The 23,137-nt window shown below is 37.6% G+C and overlaps 1 protein-coding gene and 1 long non-coding RNA gene across 2 annotated transcripts in view, besides 5 other annotated features; one reads left to right on the top strand and one right to left on the bottom strand.

Annotated features, from left to right (window-relative positions):
• Positions 1-862: 862 nt before the first annotated feature.
• The window catches only part of SPIN4-AS1 (SPIN4 antisense RNA 1), a 68,502-nt gene continuing 46,227 nt past the window's right edge, over positions 863-23,137 (bottom strand). Inside the window, exons 2-3 of the long non-coding RNA NR_046739.1 lie at positions 3,317-3,411; positions 863-1,209 (exon numbers count right to left, since the gene is read on the bottom strand). This is a non-coding gene — a long non-coding RNA (SPIN4 antisense RNA 1). The remainder of the gene's footprint in view (positions 1,210-3,316; positions 3,412-23,137) is intronic.
• Positions 1,501-1,730: a silencer, noted in NCBI's record as "silent region_20874". NCBI's record gives its function as "represses an Ori minimal core promoter by ATAC-STARR-seq in GM12878 lymphoblastoid cells {active_cell/tissue: GM12878}" and the evidence as "EXISTENCE:reporter gene assay evidence [ECO:0000049][PMID:35858748]".
• Positions 1,719-5,823, top strand: SPIN4 (spindlin family member 4). The gene has a single exon (NM_001012968.3). The coding sequence runs from the start codon at positions 2,232-2,234 to the stop codon at positions 2,979-2,981; it is 750 nt and encodes a 249-aa protein (NP_001012986.2). The 5' UTR covers positions 1,719-2,231; the 3' UTR covers positions 2,982-5,823.
• Positions 1,931-1,980: an enhancer, noted in NCBI's record as "active region_29707". NCBI's record gives its function as "activates an Ori minimal core promoter by ATAC-STARR-seq in GM12878 lymphoblastoid cells {active_cell/tissue: GM12878}" and the evidence as "EXISTENCE:reporter gene assay evidence [ECO:0000049][PMID:35858748]".
• Positions 2,251-2,300: an enhancer, noted in NCBI's record as "active region_29706". NCBI's record gives its function as "activates an Ori minimal core promoter by ATAC-STARR-seq in GM12878 lymphoblastoid cells {active_cell/tissue: GM12878}" and the evidence as "EXISTENCE:reporter gene assay evidence [ECO:0000049][PMID:35858748]".
• Positions 2,401-2,530: an enhancer, noted in NCBI's record as "active region_29705". NCBI's record gives its function as "activates an Ori minimal core promoter by ATAC-STARR-seq in GM12878 lymphoblastoid cells {active_cell/tissue: GM12878}" and the evidence as "EXISTENCE:reporter gene assay evidence [ECO:0000049][PMID:35858748]".
• Positions 21,444-21,944: an enhancer, noted in NCBI's record as "H3K4me1 hESC enhancer chrX:62550986-62551486 (GRCh37/hg19 assembly coordinates)". NCBI's record gives its function as "activates a minimal SCP1, AML or CMV promoter by ChIP-STARR-seq in primed H9 embryonic stem cells {active_cell/tissue: H9 hESC(primed)}" and the evidence as "EXISTENCE:reporter gene assay evidence [ECO:0000049][PMID:30033119]".

Below are 23,137 nucleotides of genomic sequence, written 5' to 3'. Positions count from 1 at the left end.
AACTGCTCTTCTGAGCAAAAAGTGCTTGGTGTATCTTGGTCTGGGGAATTATTTGGAAGACATTATTTGTGGAACATAATGGCATAACATTTACATACGTTCACCTTCTGACTTTGAGTATGAATGTGTAGGTTGTGTATATGTGTGAATATATATACACCACGATGTCATTCTAAGTGTTTGGAAATAACTGTTCATACATGTAGTTTACCTTCTTCCTTGGAATTACTATCTTGTAATATGGCATTAAAGAATTATCCCATCTCTGAAGTCCTTTGCCTGGGAAACATGGTGAACTGGAGGATCCTTACACATTCTGTGTGACCAGCTATTAAACAGAATGAGGACTAGGTCTCTCTGTCACTGACTTGGAAGGTAATGAAATGTTCAGGCAACCAGTATTGACACCTTGCAGCTTTTGCCCCGGTTTTGTTTCCAGGTGAATTAATTGCCTTTTTTACTCATGATTATATGACGCTTTCTCTTTTCACCAGTGAAGAGTAGAGGAATGAAAATGAGAACCCTAGACTCTTCTGGATTTTAATGTCATCTTGTAAGTGGGATATAGTGTTAAAAGCTTTACAGACATTCTCATTTAATCCTCATAGCAGCTCTGTGACTTAAGGTAAGTGAAATTATGGACACTTTCTTTTCTTGCAGGTTTTCGATATAAGCATGCAGCACTTTTATAATCAGAAAAACAGCAAATATATACACAAAAAATCCCTTCTTTCTCTCTCTACAAAATTAAGACCACAATATTGTTTCAATATTTTGCTTTTTCATTGTACTCATCTCATGTGCAGCTCTCCATGTCATTAAATCTTCTTTTAAAAAATGGTTTAGACAATAAATCCATTTATGAAGGTAAAATGTTTTTATTTATACTTATGTTATAGATCATGTAGGATAAATAGTGGACTATCAAAAGGAATATTACAAATATTTAATATTACTATTAAAAATCATGTTTTCAGAGTATTTAACAATCTTGGAAAATGTTCATGATATACATGAAAAACACAAGTTATAAAAGTATGAAATATGCTCCCAATTTTATAAAATATAAGTACAGGTTTATTAATAGGAGAGAAAACAGTATTGTTAACATTTTGGTGCAGTCTGGATGGTAAAATTAATGGTAGTTTCGTCTTTTATTTCACTGAATTTTAGAAGATCTCCACAATGTCAGTACATGACCTTTACATTCTGACAAAAAAAAAAAAAATAAAAATAATTACTAGAAATGATCAGGTAGAAAATATAAAACAGATTTTGGATTAAGATGGTGGTCTGTAAATTGTACACAGGGTTTTTATTCTCATCTTAAATATCTTAAACTGAAAGAAAATAATTTGTATGCACAAACTCTTTCTGGGTGTGCGTGTGTTTTACATTTTTTTTTTTTTTAAGTGAGGAATTCCTGGAAGACAGAAAGCAGATGGAGCCACTGTGTAGGAGGCTGGCGGGCAGCAGACCGCCAGAAAGGAGGAGGAGGGGAGTCGGCCTGTCTGGCTGGCGTTTGAGGGAAACGGTCGAGGGGCGGAGGAGGAAATGAAAGAGAGGGCGCGTGTGTCAATACAAACTGAACACGGGCACGCGCGCTGACCAGCCCGGCTGCCGCCCGCAGAGCGGAAGGCGGGATGGCTGGGGGCGGGGCCAAGGCTCAGGCGGGCTCAGAGGGGGCGGGTTCCCTGCGCCGCAAAGACCCGGTCGCCAGAGTGAAGCCAAGCCAGCTAGCGCTGCGAAGCCCAGGCCGCGCGGACTCCCCAGAGACTTGCCGCCGCCTGCGCCTTTGCCGCTGCAGCCATCCCTCTTACTCCTTGCCTTTCGTCCCCGTCGTCTCCTCTGCCGCCGTGCCGCAGCCGCACCAGCATCGACAACAGCTAAGTGGCCGATTCGGGGACTTGGGGTCGGGGTTGGGGCGGACGCAAGGCACGAACAGCACTCGCGAGCCCGCCATCTCTACGTCAGCCGCCACTGCTGCAGTAACCCTTCTAGGGCGAGAGAGGAAAGCACTGTGGAGAGGCACACGCTGTCCCAGTGCTCACGGTTAGAGTTCGAGCGTTTCTGCCAAAACCTTGGTGAGAGCCTTGCACTTGGAGAAGGGAGCACAGACCAGGTCTTTGAGATCGCAAAAAATATATATATCATATTGCATAGTGTTGACTTTTTGTCAGTTTAATCGACCAGGGCAGCAGCTTTCCCCAAGCCCTCTTAATCCCTGAGCTATGTCTCCTCCAACCGTGCCTCCGATGGGGGTAGATGGCGTGTCCGCATACCTGATGAAGAAAAGGCACACCCACAGGAAGCAACGGCGCAAGCCCACTTTCCTCACTCGTAGGAACATCGTGGGCTGCCGCATTCAACACGGCTGGAAGGAAGGCAACGAGCCAGTGGAGCAGTGGAAGGGTACTGTGCTCGAGCAGGTTTCCGTGAAGCCCACTCTTTACATCATTAAATATGATGGCAAAGATAGTGTGTATGGACTAGAACTGCACCGCGATAAGAGAGTTTTAGCGCTAGAGATCCTTCCTGAGAGAGTGCCAACTCCTCGTATCGATTCACGACTGGCAGATTCCCTGATTGGCAAGGCAGTGGAGCATGTGTTTGAAGGTGAACATGGTACCAAGGATGAATGGAAGGGTATGGTCCTGGCGCGAGCTCCTGTGATGGATACTTGGTTTTACATCACCTACGAGAAAGATCCTGTTCTCTATATGTACACGCTGCTTGATGACTACAAAGATGGTGACTTACGCATTATTCCAGATTCCAACTACTATTTCCCTACAGCAGAACAGGAGCCTGGAGAGGTGGTCGACAGTCTCGTGGGCAAGCAGGTGGAGCATGCCAAAGATGACGGGTCCAAGAGAACTGGCATTTTTATACATCAAGTGGTGGCGAAGCCATCTGTTTACTTCATTAAGTTTGATGATGATATTCACATTTATGTCTATGGTTTGGTGAAAACTCCTTAAATTCTTTGTGCTCTTTAGAGAAGTTGTGGATCTGTTAGATGTGAATTATTTTGTGTTCTCGTAGTTGTGAACGCAGAGAAGAGTTTAGGTGTCAGAAATTCAGGAAAGTGGATAAATTTTATTGTGCCAACAAATCTTACCTTGACTAGTTTCACAATTTTGCCTCAAGTGTACTTTGCTACTTTTGATATTGCCTTGTTCTGTAACTTAACAGTTAAATTGGGTGCTAATAGAAAATTAAAAAGTGTTTGCAACCATTGGAACAATGCAAAAATAGATTAAGAAAAATTAATGGTGTAAACCCACACCCCGTCCTTACCCCTTCCTTTCCTTACCTTGTTTCTTCCCAGAAAACAAGTGTTGAGGATGCGAAGTACATCCTTCCACCTATTTTCCCCATCTTCATGCAGAAAGTATGTTCTAGTAGTTTCTGTAAAAATGGCAAGCCACATGCTTTTCTCACTTGACATGTAGATGATATCTCTTCTTATCAGTAGCTTCAGTCTTTCTTGCTCTCTCTGGCTCTCTCTGGCCCTCACTCTTACTCTCTTGCACTCTTGCTCTCCCCCTCCCTCCCTTACTCTAACAGCTGAATACACAGTACTTGTTGATGTACCAAAAAGGCATTCAACCATTTCGTTATTGATCGTCTTTTATTTCCTTTTTTTATTTTTTTTCAAAATAACACTGCTGTAATACATACTGGTGCTTTTATTTATATAGGTTGGATTCCCAGAAATACTATGTAGGCATATGTTTCAGAAATATTACAAGATTACTATCCAAAATGAAAGCGCCCGTTCCAGCGTCCTCTCCAGCACTCTTTAATGCTTGAAAATATGAAAGGCTAAAAATTGCATTGTATTGCTTGTTAGTTTAATTGCCTTTTGTCTGAGTTCAAAGAGGTTTGTTGTTGTTGCTGTCCTTGTTTCTGTTTGGATTTTTCTCTGATTTGCCTGTTCTTACCCTTTGCTCATGTATCTATTGATGTTTTTCATTATAAATTTGTAGAAATTCTTACTACATAGTGCATATTAATCATTTGTAGCTCTAATGTGTTATGACGTTTTCATCTTGACTTTATTGATGATATATTTTCCTTTAAAATTTTTAAACTTTTTAGGTAGACCCTTATCTCTTTTATAGATTTTGGTTTCCTTTTTTTATCACATGGATGCCCCCACCCAAAGTCATACAAATATTCACCTACATTTTCTTCTAATAACTTTATTATTTTTAATGTTTAAATGTTTGATCCATCTGAAATTTATTTTTGTATATGGTGTAAGATGGGGATCCAGCTATAACATTTTGTTCACATTGGATACCTGATTGTGACATTTATTTAAAATGTTACCCATTTTCAAATTTCTGAGCCAATATCATGATTTAATTATAGTGGCTTCATCGTAAGTTTTAGAATCCGATAAAGCAAGTCCCACTTCATTAGTTTTTTTTTTCTTTATATAATATGTCCTAGACATTCATTTTTTCATGTGAAAAAATGAAATGCAGAATTTTAATAAAATTCTAATTATGATGGCTGACATCACAATTAAAATCCTGCATTTTTGTTTAGAGGGCTCTTTAATAATATTAAATCTTAGCACTCAAGAGTCTTCGTACATCATTGAAATCTTTTGGTCTTGTTATTGGAATATTCTTCACGTAAGTATATCATAGCTAACTGAATTTATTTCTAAGTATTTTTACAGTTTTATTTCATATTTTGACATTGTGAATTGGTTTTTTTCTTCTCATTTGTAATTAGCTATTTTTGACAATATAGACAACCTATAGATTTTTGTATTTTTATCTTCTGTCTAATGAGCTTATTTAATCATTGAAATTACAGTAGATTTTTAAGAATATAATATTTTGGGTTTTCTAGATATGAAATTATTTCACCTGAACATATAGATCATTTTATTTCCTCTTAATGTTTATACTGATTACTGTTACATTAGCTGGATTTTTCAAAACAATGTTGAAGAGTGATGACAGACGTGACTGTCTTGTTCTTAATTTTCATGGAAGTAAGAATGCAAAATATTAATAGGGAATAGTATTCCCTATTAGTATGACATTTACTTTTGGTTATTAGTAGGTAGTCATTAACATGTTTAAGAGTTTCCGCTATTCCTGTTTTATAGTGTTATTGCTAGAAGTGGTTCCTGAATTTTATAAAATGCCTTTTCAGCATCTATTGATAAAATTGTATGATTTTTTTTCTCTTTAATTTGTTGATGTAATGAATTAGAATGGTAGGCATTTGATGTGGAACCAAACTTGTATTTCTGGAACAAATACTACTTGGTCATTGTGAAATAATGATTTGCTACATGAGTGGATTTTATTTACCAGTATTTAATTTAGAATTATTGCATTTTCATTCCAAAGTAAAATTGTATTTTGTCCTTCTGATGCTATCTTTATCAAGTTTTGTTATTGAAGTTGTGCTAGCTTTAAAAAAATATGAATATGTGAGTTTTCAATTTTTTTCCTGTGGTCTGGAATAATTTAAATAGCATTAGAATTATTTGTTTGTTAAAAGTTAGCTAGGACAAAGTGTAAAACAATCTAATCCTGATGACACTTTTAATAGTAGATTTTTAATCAGCTTTGTGATTTCTTTAATAGTTATTGGTTTATTCAGGCTTTTTATTAAAAAGGTATATACATTCTCTGTGACATACAAAGTTAAAAGTTCTCTATTATTGCTGATTGTACTGGTTGTTGCTTGTTGACTGTACTATTCAGATGGCTTTATGCTTTTGTGTATTTTATGTCACCTAGATCTAATTCTGAAAACATTGTAATAAAATAATTAGCTATAATGGTATTTTCAATTATCTTTGTATTTTATTTATCAAAATTAAATCAAAATATAGGAAAGTATGAAAGATATGACAAACATTTTCTCACCTCCACCCAAAATTAATAAGTGTCAACATTTTGGCCTATTTGATATAGATAGAGATATATATTATTAAACAGTCAGAAAATTACAGATAATAAATATCTTTCCCAGTACCATCCCACTTCCATTCTTTGAATAGGCAGACACTGTAATTAATTTGGTATGATTCTTGCCCATGTTTTATGTTTTTACTACATATTATCACCATAACTGATAATAGTATTGATTTTTATGTTTTTTTTTTTTTTAAATTTCCCCATGAATGATGAACTTTAAACCATGTGGAGTTTATTTTATGTTTTGTTGTAAGGATCTGTGTTTCTCCAGTGGAAAAACAGATTGCAACAACACAACCAATAGGACTGACCTTAGAATGCTAGTTACTGTTTCAGGCACTTTTACCACTCCTGATACGCAGAGAGGCGTGGCCCTAACTGAGGCCCTGAGGTTTCAATTAAAATGACAAAAATCTCAGTTCTCACAGAGCTTGCTTTCTTGTTAATGGGAGGCATATACCCGCCACCCACCCCTGATGTTTAGGCCAGACATAGGCCCTATGTTGTCTTACGATGATTTTGGTGTTATTCCACATTCTGACACTCAGAGGGAGGCTAGCTCTAATCCTGCCATTGTTTCAAGTGTTTGGGACATAGCAGATCAAACAAAAATCTTCCTTTCTTAGACAATGATAACAACAACATACATAAATATTATTGCTTCCTAGTTCCTGTTCTCCCACTAGGCCCTAAGTCCTGAACCATGCATTATATTGTTCCCATTGATGATGGTTGGGGCTGGGAGATAGAACAGTGAACTATCTAGACAAAATCACTACTGCTTTAGAGCATACATCCTAAAGGAGTAAGGAAGACAGCCATCACCATTCTTACATCCCTGGCCCTTAGGCTTTATATTGTCTCATAGGAATTTGGGGATATCCCACAATGTGCCACTCAGAGCAAGATTTGACCCTAGTTCTGACTCCTATAGATTGAGGATATGAAAGTGAGATAGATGAAGTCAAAATGAACATTCAAGCCTACATAGCTTCAGAATTCCACTGTATATTCTGAAATGATATGGCAAAAATGTCAGAGACTAGAGCAAAGAATGCTGGCTAGAAGATTACAGGAGTAAGTCAGACAGAAATTTTTAGTTAATAATTTTAGAAATGCATATTAAGGTGCATTGTGAGGGAGAGTTAACATTGTAGCTGATTAATTTTGTAAGGAAACTGACTATGTAGTAATCAAAGGCCTCCAGGATTATGAGTTATCTGCAAAAATCAGAGAGTTAATGTACGGGAACGGACAAGATTTTAAGAGTCAGTTTAAAACAAAACACAAGAATAAGGGCTAGATAAGTAAGTATAGGTGTACAGTGATCATACTTTTTCTCCATTTTAGTCTGTATCTAAATAGGCTCAAAAAAGTGAATGAAGTGTGAAATGTCTACATTGTCTATTGTTTGGACAAAATATTTTCTTTAAAGATAGAAAAAAGTTTGCTATCTGTAAATTGGCTATTTCACTGAACTAATTAATTCTAAGTATGGATTTCTTTTTTTTTTTTTAAACAGTGTCCTGCTCTGTCATCCAGGTTGAAGTGCAGTGGGCGATCATGGCTCACGGCAGCCTCGACCTCCCAAGATCAAGCAATCCTCCCACCTCAGCCTCTTGAGTAGCTGGGAGTACAGGCACAAGCTACCATGCCCAGCTAATTTTTGATATTTTATAAAGATGAGGTTTCGCCATGTTGCCCTGGCTGGTCTCGAACTCGAGCTCAAGGCAATCCACCTGCCTCAGCCTCCCAAAGTGTTGGTATTACAGGTGTGAGCAACTATGCTTAGCCCTGGTTTTACTTTTAACTGTATGACCTATATTCAGGACTTTTGAAAATGTAAAGAATCCATGTTTTCTCTCCTTCACAAATTTTCCACATGCATCCTTCATTCTCTTGTTGACTGTTCATACCATAAAAGATTTAGGTTCATTTTTAAAGACATCTAGATAACTGCAAAAGGAAGTGACATTAGCGCTTCTCATAAATCAGGGTTTCTGGTATGATTACTTTGATTAGTACTTGTTTATTTAATCATTCATTTATTTATGAAATAATAACCCAGGATCCTCTGACAAAATGTGCAAGATGTTTTTCTGGGTGCCATGCTGGGAAACCAAGATGAATAACACATGGTCTTTTATATGTTCTTTTATGGCCTTCAAATCAATAGCAGAGACAAAAAGTTGCCTTTAAAGCAATAGCAGAGGCAAAAGATGGGTATAAAACCCTGTATAACAACGTAAAAAGAATGTGATAAATGTTATTTAAAGGGTCACAGGGGTACATATATACTGTTAATTCAGGTGACAGAGAGAGAGCTCATTTCATAGAAGTTGATATTAATCTTCATTATGTTACACAAGCAAGAGGGTTTCTAAGTTGATGATTTCATAGTACCAACATAGCAAATTATATATATATATATATAATTTTATTGAGATATAATTACATAGAGCAAAAGACACAGTATCTTGAATATATAACACACTGACTTTTCAGTTTTTCTTCTGTCATTTATTTACGGCATCATTCCATTGTAATTAGAAAAAACACTTTGTATTATTTTAATCTTTCAAAATTTGTTGAGAATTGTTTAGTAGCCTAACGTGTACTATCCTAGAGAATGTTCTATGTGCACTTGAAAAGATTATGTATTCTCCTGTTGTTGGGTGAGGTGTTATAAGTCTGTCAAGTCTAGTTTGTTTGTAGTGTTGTTCAAATCCTCTATTTTCTATTGACCTTATTCCTACATGCTCTATCCATTTTTGAATGTTTTCAATTGAAATCTCCAACTGTTATTGTGTGACTGTCTATTGCTCACTTCAATTCTGTGAAACCGTGCTTCATATATCTTGGGTATCTGTTGTTAGTATATTTATTTTTATAATTTTGATATCTCCTTGATGAATTATCCATTTACTAATAAGTATTGACATTTCTTGTCTTTTTTTTTGCTTTTTTTGATTTAATGCCTACTTTGTCTGATATTGTTACAGTGGCTGTAGATTTGCAAGGAAAATCTTTTTCCTTTTTTTTTGCTTCAACCTATTTGTGTCTTTTATATCTAAAGTGAATCCCTTGTAGACAGCACATAGTTGGATCACATTTTAATGCATTCTGCCAAGCAATGTCTTTTGATTGAAGAGTTAATTCCATTTATATTTAAAGTAATGACTGATAAGGAAAGATTTACCTTTGCCATTTTGCTGTTTAAGTATATCTTAGAAATTTTTTGTCCCTCTTTTCCTCCCTTAATGCTTTCTTTAATGTTGATAGTTGCTTTTTTGTTATGAACTGATTTTCTTCTTATATTTTTGTATATAGATTTTTAGACATTTTGTTTAATATGGGGACTATATGTGACATCCTAAATTTATAATAATTTAGTTGATTTGATGCCCACATAACTTCAATAACATACAAAATCTCTGCTCCTATACAGCTCCATTTTCCACCCTTTATGTTGTCACAAATTATAACTTATACAATGTGCATCCAATAATAGAGAATCATAATTATTCTTCATAAATTTGTCAGCTTAATACTGTAGGAAGTAAAAAAGCTCTTCCCAGATTTTTGCCTTAGCAATCTACTGTTTGTTTCTATTACAGTCATTTGCTTCAGACATGTGAGGATTGTATGACTTTCAGTGTTTTTAAGCAATGCTTGTTCTTTTTCTGGCCTGAGTTTGACTTAGGTAAAACAAAGATGAAAGCCTTGTGTCAGTCATCCACGTAGTGCCCAGACAAGTTAGAAAAACCATATGAAATAATTCTACTCTTCTTACTTTGGAACCAGGGAAAGGGTGCCACACTGGGAATGCAAGCTGTCCTTGCTTCTGAACCAAGACTACTATTGTGCCAGGAAGAGGGTGGGAAAAGAGTAAGTAAAATCATCACATTACTTCCTACTGTTTTGAAGAGGTTTTTTTTCTTTCTTCAGAGTTCATTTGGTTATTGTAAATTTTGACAGATTTTCAGAATTCTGAAAAAACTGGTTCCAAAAGTATCCACTTATTCTATGTTTCTATGAGGGATGAGAGCCTAGAGCTGCCTACTCTTTCATTTTGTTGACATCACATTCTTTGTCAGATATATGTATATGTATATGTACATACATACATAAAGATTATATATATAGAGAGAAAGAGACAGTAAATGTTTTCTCCTTGTCTGTGTGTTGCCTATTTATTTTTGTAATCATGTAATTCAATGAGCAAATGTTTTAAATGTGATCAAGTCCAGTGTGGTTTTTTTTGGCATTTTAAGATTTGTTTCATAATCCAAAGGTGCAAAGATAATCTTCTATTTGTGTTATAGGAACATTATGGCTTTAACTTTCACGTTTATGTTTTGATCCACTTTCAGTTAATTTTTGTTTATGGTGTCAGGTATGTGTCCAGATAAATAGGTAGATCAGTCAATAGATACATGGATAACAACATAGTTTGTTTTTCAATAGAGATATTTAGTTATTCCAGGACCATTTGAAAAATCTTTCATTTAATCACTGAATTATATTAGTGCTTTTTACAAAAATCAATGAACCATATATGTGTTTTTATTTCTGTACTCTTTTCTGTTTTAATGCTCTATCTTTCTATGCTTATGATAATGGCATTCTGTCTTGACTAATGTAGCTTCATACTATATTTTAGAATCTGATAATGTAAGTACTTCAACATTGTTCTTATTCACCTTTTCCCAGTTTTTGCACTAATGTCCTTTTATGTTTTGGATTCAAGACTTGAGTCAGTACTACATTTCATTTATTCTTCATGTTGCCTTAGTCTCCTCCAATCAGTGACAGCTTTTTAAGCTTGAAAGTCTTTTATGACCTTGGCACTATTAAGGAGTATTCATTAGTTGTTTTTTATAATGTCTCTTGATTTCAAGTCGTTTGGTGGTTTTCTCATGACTAGAGGGGAGTTACAGATTTTTTATAAGAGTATCACAGAAGTGATGTGTCTTTCTCATTGCATAATATCCGGTATTGTACGATGTCAGCATAACTTATTGGTGATATTAATGTTGATCACTTTTGTTGAGGTGGTTTCTCCACTTTAAAGTTTGGTAGGTTTTTTTTTCTCCCTTTTCATAGTCTGTTATTTGAAATTCAGTGACTAACTTTGGCTGACACTCAATGAGACTAGAATTAAGCTCCACTTCTTGTGAGGAGTATTAAATAATTTTTAAAACTTCTAGCAATTAGTAAATAATTTGGAGGCAATATTTTGAGGCTCTGCAAATTTCTTAAGTTAACCAGTGACTAAATTTAAATTTCCAACTATTATTGTGGACTTGTCTGTTTCTCCCTTCAATTTAATCATTTTTTGTTTTACGTATTATATTTGGGGGCTTTAAAGTTAACTGTGATATATTTTCATAATTGCTACATTTTCCTGATTGACCGTTTTATCATTATACAATGCCCTTCATTATCTGTACTAACAATTTTTGTCTTAAGTCTATTTTGTCTGTTATAAATATCAGACAAAATAAAACAGCTCTCTTTTGAGTACTGTATGCCTAGTATCATTTCCCATCCTATTACTTCCAACCTATTTATATCTTTTAATCTAAATTGTGTCTTCTGTAGATCACATATAGTTGTATCTTTTTAAAAATTCCATTCCACCAATATTGCCTTCTAATTAGGGTGTTTAATCCAGGTACAATTAATTTGGTAATTTACAAGTGGGTATTTACTGCTATTTTTCTTTGGATTTCTATATGTCTTATTTTTCATTTTATCTATTCTTCCAACACTGCTTTTTTTGTGTTAAATAGATGTTTTCTAGTATACTTCGCCCAGGCTGGAGTACAGTGGCACAATCTTGGCTCACTGCTACCTCTGCCTCCTTGGTTCAAGCAATTCTCCTGCCTCAGCCTTCTGAGTAGCTGGGATTGCAGGCATGCCACCATGCCCGGCTAATTTTTGTATTTTTTAGTAGAGATGCGGTTTTGCCATGTTGGCCAGGCTGTTCTCTAACTCCTGACCTCAAGTGATCTGTCCACCTCAGCCTCCCAAAGTGTTGGGATTACAAGCATTAGCCACCACGCCTGGCCCCTAGTATAACTTTTTAATGCCTTTGTCATTTTATTTATTATTTATTCTGAGTTATTTTCTTCTGGGTCACTCTGGTGTTTACAATTAAATTATTATAGTCTAGTTCAGTTTCATTTCTATTTAATTTCAATAGTATACAAAATTGTTGATTCTATATATTTCCATTCTCTTCCCCATCTTCTATGATTTTATCATACCAATATTTTATTTATGCATTATTTTCTCATCAATGCAGATTTATAATTATTTTATGCATTTGTCTTTTAAATCAGGTAGGATGAAACACAGAGCTACAAACAAAAATTATACTTCTTTCATCTTTTATATTTCCTCATGCAGTTACCTTTACCAGTGTTCTTTATTTTATCATGGTCTTCAAATTACAGTTAGTATTGTTTCATTTCAGCCTAAAAGTCTCTTTTTAGTATTTCTTGTCAGGCAGATATAGTAAAAAATTTTTATCAGTTCTTGTTTATCTGGACATGTTTTTATTTCTCTTTCATTTGTAAGTTTTGCTGGATATAAAATGTTTGGTTCACATGTTTTTTCTTTCAGTATTTTGAATATGGTAGGTATCCCATTGTCATCCACAGTATTGGGTGAGAAATCGGTTGTTAATCTTACTGAGAATCTTTCATATACAATCAGTCATTTTTCTTTTTCTGCATTCAAGATTCTCTCTTTATGTTTGTCTTTTGACAGTTTAATTATGATGTCTTGGTGTGCTTTTCTTTGAGTTTATCTTACTTGGAATTCATTGAGATTCTTGGATGTATATATTAATGTTGATCGATTTTTGGAAGTTTTCAGCCATGATTTTTTCAAATATTCTTTATGCTTCTTTCACTCTCTACTTTTTCTCAGACTTCCATTATGTATATTTTGGTATGCTTGATGGTGTTCAGAGGTCTCTGGAGTTTTGTACATTTTTCTTCACTCTGTTATCTTTCTGTTCCTTAGACTGGGTAATCACAATTGTCCTACCTTCCAGTTCACGAATTCTTTCTTCTGCCTGCTTATATCTGCTGTTGAACTTCTTCAGTTTATTTTTAATTTCAGTTCTTATATTTTTCAACTTTAGAATTTCTATTTGGTTTCTTTTTATATCTGTTTACTGATATACTACTTGATGAGACGTTATTCTCATACATTTCTTTAATTCTTTAGATGGGATTTTCTCTAGTTCTTTGGACAGATTTATAATAGCTGATTTAAAGTCACTTGCTAAATTTAGTATTCATCTAAAGATCTTGCCTACAACAATCACTACTTTGGTGTTGTAATGATTAATTTTCTATAAAAGAATTTCCTGGCAGCTGGATGCGGTGGCTCAGGCCTGTAATCCCAGCACTCTGGGAGGCCAAGGTGGGTGGATCACGAGGTCAGGAGATCACGACCATCCTGGCTAACGCGGTGAAACCCTGTCTCTACTAAAAGTAAAAAAAAAATTAGCGGGGTGTGGTGGCGGGTGCCTATAGTCCCAGCTACTCGGGAGGTTGAGGCAGGAGAATGGCGTGAACCCGGAGGCGGAGCTTGCAGTGAGCCGAGATTGCGCCACTGCACCCAGCCTGGGTGACAGAGTGAGACTGTGTCTCAAAAAAAAAAAAAAAATTTTCCTATTTCTTTATTAACTGAAGCTCTTCTGTAAGGAATAGCTAATCTCTTCTCTCATTCATTCGTTTATTCATTCAATTATGTGTTTATATCAGTATAGACTTATGGATACTTATTATTTAAGAAGTAATCCATTAGTAGCAGTATTTTACATATTTTAAGTTTTATTTTAGATTCAGGAGTACATGTGCAGGTTTTTTATATAGGGAAACTCATAATTTGGAGGTTTGATGTACACATTATTTTGTCACTCAGGTACTAAGCATAGCCTCAACATTTTTTTCTTCTGAACCTCTTCCTCATCTCAGCCTCCTCCCTCAAGTAGGCTCCAGTGTCTGTTGTTCCTCTCTTTCTGTCCATGTGTTCTCATTATTTAGCTTCCACTTATAAGTGAGAACATGGAGTATTTTGTTTCTTTTCCTGCGTTGGTTTGCTAAAGATAATGGCCTCCAGTTCCATCCACTAGAGAAATGTAAATTAAAACCACAATATTATTTGTATTTATTTTATTCCTAGATTATTTTAGGTTTGACCATTGGTAGTTTTTGATTCCTAGATGATTTTAGGTTTGACCATTGGTAGTTTTTGATTCCTAGATTATTTTAGGTTTGACCATTGGTAGTTTCTTGGCTTCTGTAACTTTTTTTTTTTTTTTTTTTTTTGAGACGGAGTCTCGGTCTGTCGCCCAGGCTGGAGTGCAGTGGCCTGATCTCGGCTCACTGCAAGCTCTGCCTCCTGGGTTCACGCCACTCTCCTGCCTCAGCCTCCCGAGTAGTTGGGACTACAGGCGCCTGCCACCACGCCTGGCTAATTTTTTGTATTTTGTTTAGTAGAGACGGGGTTTCATCGTGTTAGGATTGTCTCGATTTCCTGACCTCGTGATCCACCTGCCTTGGCCTCCCAAAGTGCTGGGACTACAGGCACCCGCCACCACGCCCGGCTAATTTTTTGTATTTTGTTTAGTAGAGATGGGGTTTCATTGTGTTAGGATGGTCTCGATCTCCTGACCTCGTGATCCACCTGCCTTGGCCTCCCAAAGTGCTGGGATTACAGGCATGAGCCACCGTGCCCGACCGGCTTCTATAACATTTTTAAGTCTTTTTTTTTTTTTTATTATGCAGCCTTTATTGGACATTTATCTTTCAGCAAAGTGCAGTTACATTTTCCATTAATTTACAGTAACACAGTTTAACTCTGATACCCTTGACTGTTGACCCAGGTGAGATGTAATGCTAAGTACTTGTTTAGATTAAGATGCCCCCAAATGTCATTATTGTCTGAATAGTAAGTGCTGAATAACAGTAGAAATTTAATCCACTAGCTTTAGGATAGGGTTTCTGTTATCTGCATTAGCTTTTCAGTGAAGTGAAAACAAGATCTTTGCCTTTTACGTCATCCCACTTACTCAAACATCATTCTTTAACAGAGTTAAAAGATATTTCATGAAGAACTGTAGATGTTCTGTGCTTACAGTTTGGGGTGAATATAAATACAAATGACATGAAGTAAAATGTACTTTAAAAAATACATATGGTTTTTAATAATTAAAAATGTTTTAGCTGGGCGTGGTGGCTCATCCCATGTCTGTAATCCCAGAACTTTGGGAGGCTGAGGTGGGTGGATCACCTGAGGACAGGAGTTCGAGACCAGCCAGACCAACATGGTGAGACCCCATCTGTACTAATAATACAAAATTAACTGGGCATGGTGGTGTATGCCTGTAATCCCAGCTACTCAGGAAGCTGAGACAGGAAATTCGCTTGAACCCAGGAGGCAGAGATTGCAGTGAGCTGAGATCGCATCATTGCATTCCAGTCTGGGCAACAAGAGTGCAACTCCTCAAAAAAAAAACAGTTTCAATTTTTATGGAAGTCAATGTTAGAAAAATATTAATGTGCAAATATGTGTGGTGAAGTAAACTATAACTGTTTGTACAATTTGGCATTTTCGGACATTAGCACTAAGAAAATAGAGATTTTCATATTAGCAGCCTCTCTCATGCTCCTAAATAGGTTATTGCATCTTTTTTTTTTTTTTCGTACTTTACGTTCTGGGATACATGTGCAGAAAGTGCAGGTCTGTTACACAGGTATATACGTGCCATGGTGGTTTGCTGCACCCATCAACCCATCATCTACATTAGGTATTTCTCCTAATGCTATCCATGCCCTAGCCCCACACCCCCCAACAGGCCCTGGTGTGTGATCATCTCCTCCCTGTGTCCATGTATTCTCATTGTTCAGCTGCCACTTATGAGTGAGAACATGCGGTGTTTGGTTTTCTGTTCCTGTGTTAGTTTGCTGAGTACGATGGTTTCCAGCTTCATCCATGTCCCTGCAAAGGACGTGAACTCATCATTTTTGTATGGCTGCATAGTATTCCATGGTGTATATTTGCCACATTTCCTTTATCCAGGCTATCATTGATGGGCATTTGGGTTGGTTCCAAGCCTTTGCTGTTGTGAATCGTGCTGCAATAAACATAACGTGTGCATGTGTCTTTATAATAGAATGATTTATAATCCTTTGGGTATATAAACAGTAATGGCATTACTGGGTCAAGTGGTATTGCTGGTTCTGGATCCTTGAGGAATCGCCACACTGTCTTCCGCAATGTTTGAACTAGTTTACACTCCCACCTACCGTGTAAAAGCGTACCTATTTCTCCACATCCTCTCCAGCATCTGTTGTTTCCTGACTTTTTAATGATCGCCATTCTAACTGGCATGAGATGGTCTCTCATTGTGGTTTTGATTTGCATTTCTCTAATGACCAGTGATGATGAACTTTTCTTCATACATTTGTTGGCTGCATAAATGTCTTCTTTTGAGAAGTGACTGTTCATATCCTTTGCCCACTTTTTGATGGGGTTATTTGTTTTTTTCTTGTAAATTTGTTTAAGTTCCTTGTAGATTCTGGATATAAGCCATTTGTCAGATGGATAGATTTCAAAACTTTTCTCCCATTCTGTAGGTTGCTGGTTCACTCTTGATGATAGTTTCTTTTGCTGTGCAGAAGCTCATTAGTTCAGTCAGATCCCATTTGTCAATTTTGGCTTTTGTTGCCATTGCTTTTGGTGTTTTAGTAATGAAGCCTTTGACCATGCCTATGTCCTGAATGGTATTGCCTAGGTTTTCTTCTAGGGTTTTTATGGTTTAAGGTTTTACGTTTAGCCTTTAATCCATCTTTTGTTAATTTTTGTATAAGGTATAAGGAAGGGGCCCAGCTTCAGTTTTCTGCATATGGCTAGCCAGTTTTCCAAACACCATTTATTGAATAGGGAATCCTTTCCCCACTGCTTGTTTTTGTCAGGTTTGTCAAAGATCAGATTGTTGTAGATGTGTGGTGTTATTTCTGAGACCTCTGTTCTGTTCTGTTCTGTTCTATTGGTCTATATATCTGTTTCGGTACCAGTACCATGCTGTTTTGGTTACTGTAGTCTTGTAGTATAGTTTGAAGTCAGGTAACATGATGCCTCCAGCTTTGTTCTTTTTGCTTAGTATTGTCTTGGCTGTATGGGCTCCTTTTTGATTCCATATGAAATTTAAAGTAGTTTTTTTTCTAATTTTGTGAAGAAAGTCAATGGTAGCTTGATGGGAATAGCATTGAATGTATAAATTACTTTGGGTAGTATGGCCATTTTCATGATATTAATTCTTCGTATCCATGATCATGGAAAGTTTTTCCATTTGTTTGTGTTCTCTTTTATTTTCTTGAGCAGTGGTTTGTAGTTCTCCTTGAAAAGGTCCTTCAAATCCCTTGAAAGTTGTAATCCTAGGTATTTTATTCTCTTTGTAGCAATTGTGAATGGGAGTTCACTCATGATTTGGGTCTCTGTTTGTCTATTTTTGGTGTATAGGAATGCACATTTATTGTGTATCCTGAGACTTTGCTGAAGTTGTGTATTTGGTGTTCTCTGAATATACAGTCCTGTCATCTGCAAACAGGGACAATTTGACTTCCTCTTTTCCTAATTGAATGACCTTTATTTCTTTCTCTTGCCTGATTGCTCTGACCAGAACTTCCAATACTATGTTGAATAGGAGTGGTGAGAGAGGGCATCCTTGTCTTGTGCCAGTTTTCAAAGGGAATGCTTCTAGCTTTTGCTCATTCAGTATGATATTGGCTATGGGTTTGTCATAAATAGCTCTTATTATTTTGAGATACGTTCCATCAATACCTAGTTTATTGAGAGTTTTTAGCATGAAGGAGTGTTGAATTTTATCGAAGGTTTTTTCTGCATCTATTGAGATAATTGTGTGTTTTTTTGTCATTGGTTCTGTTTATGTGATGGATTACGTTTATTGATTTGCATATGTTGAACCAGCCTTGCATCCCAGGGATGAAGCCGACTTGATCATGGTGGATAAGTTTTTTGATGTGCTGCTGGATTCGGTTTGCCAGTATTTCATTGAGGATTTTCGCGTTGATGTTCATCAGAGATATTGGCCTGAAATTGTCTTTTTTTGCTGTGTCTCTTCCAGGTTTCGGTATCAGGATGATGCTAGCCTCATAAAATGAGTTAAGGAGGAGTCCCTCTTTCTCTATTGTTTGGAATAGTTTCAGAAGTAAAGGTACCAGCTCCTCTTTGGTAGAATTTGGCTGTGAATCCATCTGGTCCTGGGTTTTTTTTTTTTTTTTTTTTTGTAGGCTATTGATTACTGCCTCAGTTTCAGAAATTGTTACTCTTCTGTTCAGGGATTCGACTTCTTCCTGGTTTGTTCTTGGCAGGGTGTATATGTACAGGTATTTATCCATTTATTCTAGATTTTCTAGTTTATTTGCATAGAGGTGTTTATAGTATTCTCTGATGGTAGCTTGTATTTCTGTGGGATCAGTGATGATATCCCCTTTATTATTTTTTATGGTGTCTATTTGATTCTTCTCTCTTTTCTTCTTTATTAGTCTGGCTAGCAGTCTATCTTTTTTGATAATCTTTTCAAAACACCAGCTCTTGGATTCATTGATTTTTTGAAGGGGTTTTCGTATCTCTATCTCTTTCAGTTCCGGTCTGATATTAGTTATTTCTTGTTTTCTGCTAGCTTTTGAATTTGTTTGCTCTTACTTCTCTAGCCTTTTTAATTGTGATGTTATAGTGTCGATTTTCAATCTTTCCGACTTTCACCTGTGGGCATTTAGTGCTGTAAATTTCCCTGTAAACACTGCTTTAGCTGTGTCCCAGAGATTCTGGTATGTTGTGTCTTGTTCTCATTGGTTTCAAAGAAATTATTTATTTGTGCTTTAATTTTGTATTTTACCCAGTAATCATTCAGGAGCAGATTGTTCAGTTTCCATGTAGTTGTGTGGTTTTGTGTGAGTTTCTTAATCCTGAGTTCTAATTTGATTGTACTGTGGTCTGAGAGACTGTTATGATTTCTGTTCTTTTGTGTGTGGTGAGGAATGTTTTAGTTCCAATGGTGTGGTCAATTTTAGAATAAGTGTGATACGTTTCTGAGAAGAATGTGTATTCTCTTGATTTGGGGCATAGAGTTCTGTAGATGTCTATTAGGTCCACCTGGTCCAGAGCTGAGTTCAAGTCCTGAATATCCTTATTAACCTTTTGTCTCTTTGATCTAATGTTGACAGTGGGGTGTTAAAGCCTCCCACTATTACTGTGTGGGAGTCTCAGTCTCTAAGTTTATAGTATTCTCTGATGGTAGTTTGTATTTCTGTGGGATCAGTGATGATATCCCCTTTATTATTTTTTTATTGTGTCTATTTGATTCTTCTCTCTTTTCTTCTTTATTATTCTGGCTATTGATATTTGTGTATGAACGAAGTTCTCGTGCTGTGTTTTTCAGCTCCATCAGGTCATTTATGTTCTTCTTTAAACTGGTTATTCTAGTTAGCAATTCCTCTAACCTTTTTCAAGGTTGCTTTATGAATCTGGGTGCTCCCGTATTGGGTGCATATATATTTAGGATAGTTTGCTCTTCTTGTTGCATTGATCCCTTTACCATTATGTGTTGCCATTCTTTGTCTTTTTGAATTTTATTGGTTTAAAGTCTGTTTTATCAGAGACTATCATTGCAACCCCTGCTTTTTTTTGCTTTCCATTTTCTTGGGAAATATTCCTCCATTCCTTTATGTTGAGCCTATGTGCGTCTTTGCATGTGAGATGGGTCTACTGAATACAGCACACCAATGGGTCTTGACCCTTTATCCAATTTGCCAGCCTGTGTCTTTTAATTGGCCAGTTTACATTTAAGTTAATATTGTTATGTGTGAATTTGATCCTGTCATTATGATGCTAGCTGGTAATTTTGCCCGTTAGTTGTTGCAGTTTCTTCATAGTGTAGATGGTCTTTACAATTTGGTGTGTTTTTGCAGTGGCTGGTACTGGTTTATCCTTTCATATCTAGTGCTTCCTTCAGGAGCTCTTGTAAGGCAGGCCTGGTGATGACAAAATCTCTCAGCATTTGCTTGTCTGGAAAGGATTTTATTTCTTTTTCGCTTATGAAGCTTAGTTAGGCTGGATATGAAATTCTGGGTTGAACATTATTTTCTTTAAGAATGTTGAATATTGGCCCCCACTCTCTTCTGACTTGTAGGATTTCTGCAGAGATATCCGCTGTTAGTCTGATGGGCTTCTCTTTGTGGGTAATCTGACTTTTCTCTTTGGCTGCCCTTAACATTTTTTCCTTCACTTCAACCTTGGTGAATCTGACAATTATGTGGCTTGGGGTTACTCTTCTCATGGTATATCTTTGTGGTGGTCTCTGTATTTTCTGAATTTGAATGTTGGCCTGTCTTGCTAGTTTGGGGAAGTTCTCCTGGATAATATTCTGAAGAGTGTTTTCCAATTTGGTTCCAATCTCCCTATCACTTTCATGTACACCTATCGAATGTAGGTTTGGTCTGTTCATATAGTCCCATATTTCTTGGAGGCTCTGTTCGTTCCTTTTCATTCGTTTTTCTCTAATCTTGTCTTCATGCTTTATTGTATTAAGCTGATCTTCAATCTCTGATGTCCTTTCTTCCACTTGATTGATTTGGCTATTGATACTTGTGTATGAAAGAAGTTATTGTGCTGTGTTTTTCAGCTCCATCAGGTCATTTATGTTCTTCTTTAAACTGGTTATTCTAGTTAGCAACTCCTCTAACCTTTTTTCAAGGTTCTTAGCTTCCTTGCATTGGGTTAAAACATGCTTCTTTAGCTTGGAGGAGTTTGTTATTACCCACCTTCTGAAGCCTAAATTCTGTCAATTTGTCAAACTCATTCCCTGTTCAGTTTTGTTGTCTTGCTAGCAAGGAGTTGTGATCCTTTGGAGGAGAAGAGGCATTCTGGTGTTTGGTAGTTTCAGCCTTTTTTTCGCTGGTTTTCCTCATCTTTGTGAATTTATCTACCTGTGGTCTTTGATTTTGGTGACCTTCAGTTGTTTTTTTTTTTTTTTTTTTGTATGTGGACGTTCTTTTTCTTGATGTTATTGCTATTCCTTTCTGTTTGTTAGTTTTTCTTCTAACAGTCAGACCCCTCTTCTGCAGGTCTGATGGAGTATTCTCCGGGTCCGCTGCAGATCCTGTGTGCCTGGGTATCACCAGTGGAGGCTGCATAACAGCAAAGATTGCTGCCTGTTCCTTCCTCTGGAAGCTTCCTTCCAGTGGGGCACCCGCCAGATGCCAGTTGGAGCTCTCTTGTTTGAGGTGTCTGTCGACCCCTGCTGCAAGGTGTCTCCCAGTCTGGAGGCACAGGGGTCAGGGACCCACTTGCAGAGGCAGTGTGTCCCTTAGCAGAGCTCGAGCGCTGTGGTGGGAGATCTGCTCTCTTCAGAGCCAGCAGGCAGGAATGTTTATTTCTGCTGAAGCTGCACACACAGCCGCCCCTTCCCCCAGGTGCTCTGTCCCAGGGAGATGGGAGTTTTGTCTAGAAGCCCCTGACTGTGGCTCCTGCCTTTTTTTCAGAGATGCCCTGCCCAGAGAGGAGGAATCTAGAGAGGCAGTCTGGCCGCAGTGGCTTTGCTGAGCTATGGTGGGCTCTGCCCAGTTCAAACTTCCTGGAGGCTTTGTTTACAGTGAGAGGGAAAAACTGCCTACGCAAGCCTCAGTAATGGTGGACGCCCCTCCCCCCACCAAGTTCTAGAGTCCCAGGTTGACTTCAGACTGCTGTGCTGGCAGCGAGAATTTCAAACCAGTGCGTCCTAGCTTGCTGGGCTTCGTGGAGGTTTGGATCCACTGAGCTAGACCACTTGGTTCCCTGTCTTCAGTCCCCTTTCCAGGAGAGTGAACGGTTCTGTCTCACTGGCGTTCCAGGCACCACTGGGGTATGAAAAATAACTCCTGCAGCTAGCTTGGTATCTGCCCAAACAGCTGCCCAGTTTTGTGCTTGAAACCCAGGGCCCTGGTGGTGTAGGCATCCGAGGGAATCTCCTGGTCTTCAGGTTGCGAAGGCCGTGGGAAAAGTGTAGTATCTGGACCAGAATGCACCACTCCTCATGGCACGGTGCCTCATGATTTCCTTTGGCCAGGGGAGGGAGTTCCCTGACCCCTTGCACTTCCTGGGTGAGGCATTGCACCACCCTGCCTCGGCTCGCCCTCCGTGGGCTGCACCCACTGTCTAACCAGTCCCAATGAGATGAGTCATGTACTCAGTTGGAAATGCAGAAATCACCTGCCTTCTGCACTGATCTGGCTGAGACCTGCAGACTGGAGATGTTCTTATTCGGCCATCTTGCCAGCTGCCTTGGTAACTGCATCTTTATAGTCTTTAATTCTTTTCTTTACTCTTTCTGTAATCTTTCTTTTCTAGTACTTCCTTATTATGTGGCATGACAGAGGCTTCAGGACCATCTTGTAATTTCCTTGCCCTATCCCTAGAATCAACAATTTTGTCAAGTCATCCTGGGTCATTTTATTATAAAGTGGTATCTAGAAGCCTGATCTGGTTGTTAGATGTGCCTGTTTCTACTGGATGTGATTACTTTTTGCTCTCCAACAGGAAAGAGCTATGGAATACATGCATGCATTCTTTTTTTTTTTTTTTTTTTTGAGACAGAGTCTTGCTCTGTTGCCCAGGCTGGAGTGCAGTGGCATGATATCGGCTCACTGCAACCTCTGCCTCCTGTGTTCAAGCAGTTCTCCTGCCTCAGCCCCCCAAGTAGCTGGAACTGCAGGCGCACACCACCATTCCTGGCTAATTTTTTGTATTTTAGTAGAGATGGGTTTCACTGTGTTGCCCAGGCTGTTCTTGAACTCCTGAGCTCAGGCAATCCACCTGCCTCGGCCTCCCAAAGTGCTGGGATTACAGGCATGAGCCACCATGCCCAGCCATACATGCATGCATTCTAATCCATGTATACATCTATATTAGTTTCCTATTGTTGCTGTATCAGCACAAACTTTGTGCCTTAAATCAATGAAAATTTGTTATCTTACATGTTTGGAGGTCAGAAATGCAAAATAGTGTGAGTTCCTTTTGGAGACGCTATGAAAGCATCCTTTTCCTTGCCTTTTCCAGCAGCTAGAGTCTGCACACATTTCTGAGCTCATAGTATG

This window comes from Homo sapiens, chromosome X (assembly GCF_000001405.40).
Source record: "Homo sapiens chromosome X, GRCh38.p14 Primary Assembly".
Classification (NCBI taxonomy): domain Eukaryota; kingdom Metazoa; phylum Chordata; class Mammalia; order Primates; family Hominidae; genus Homo; species Homo sapiens.
The sequence above is the reverse complement of the archived record's forward strand: the minus strand, read 5'-3'. Positions and strand labels throughout refer to the sequence as shown.

Excerpts from the sequence above, each read along its gene's own strand:
- SPIN4 (NM_001012968.3), top strand. The coding sequence starts at position 2,232 with ATGTCTCCTCCAACCGTGCCTCCGATGGGGGTAGATGGCGTGTCCGCA.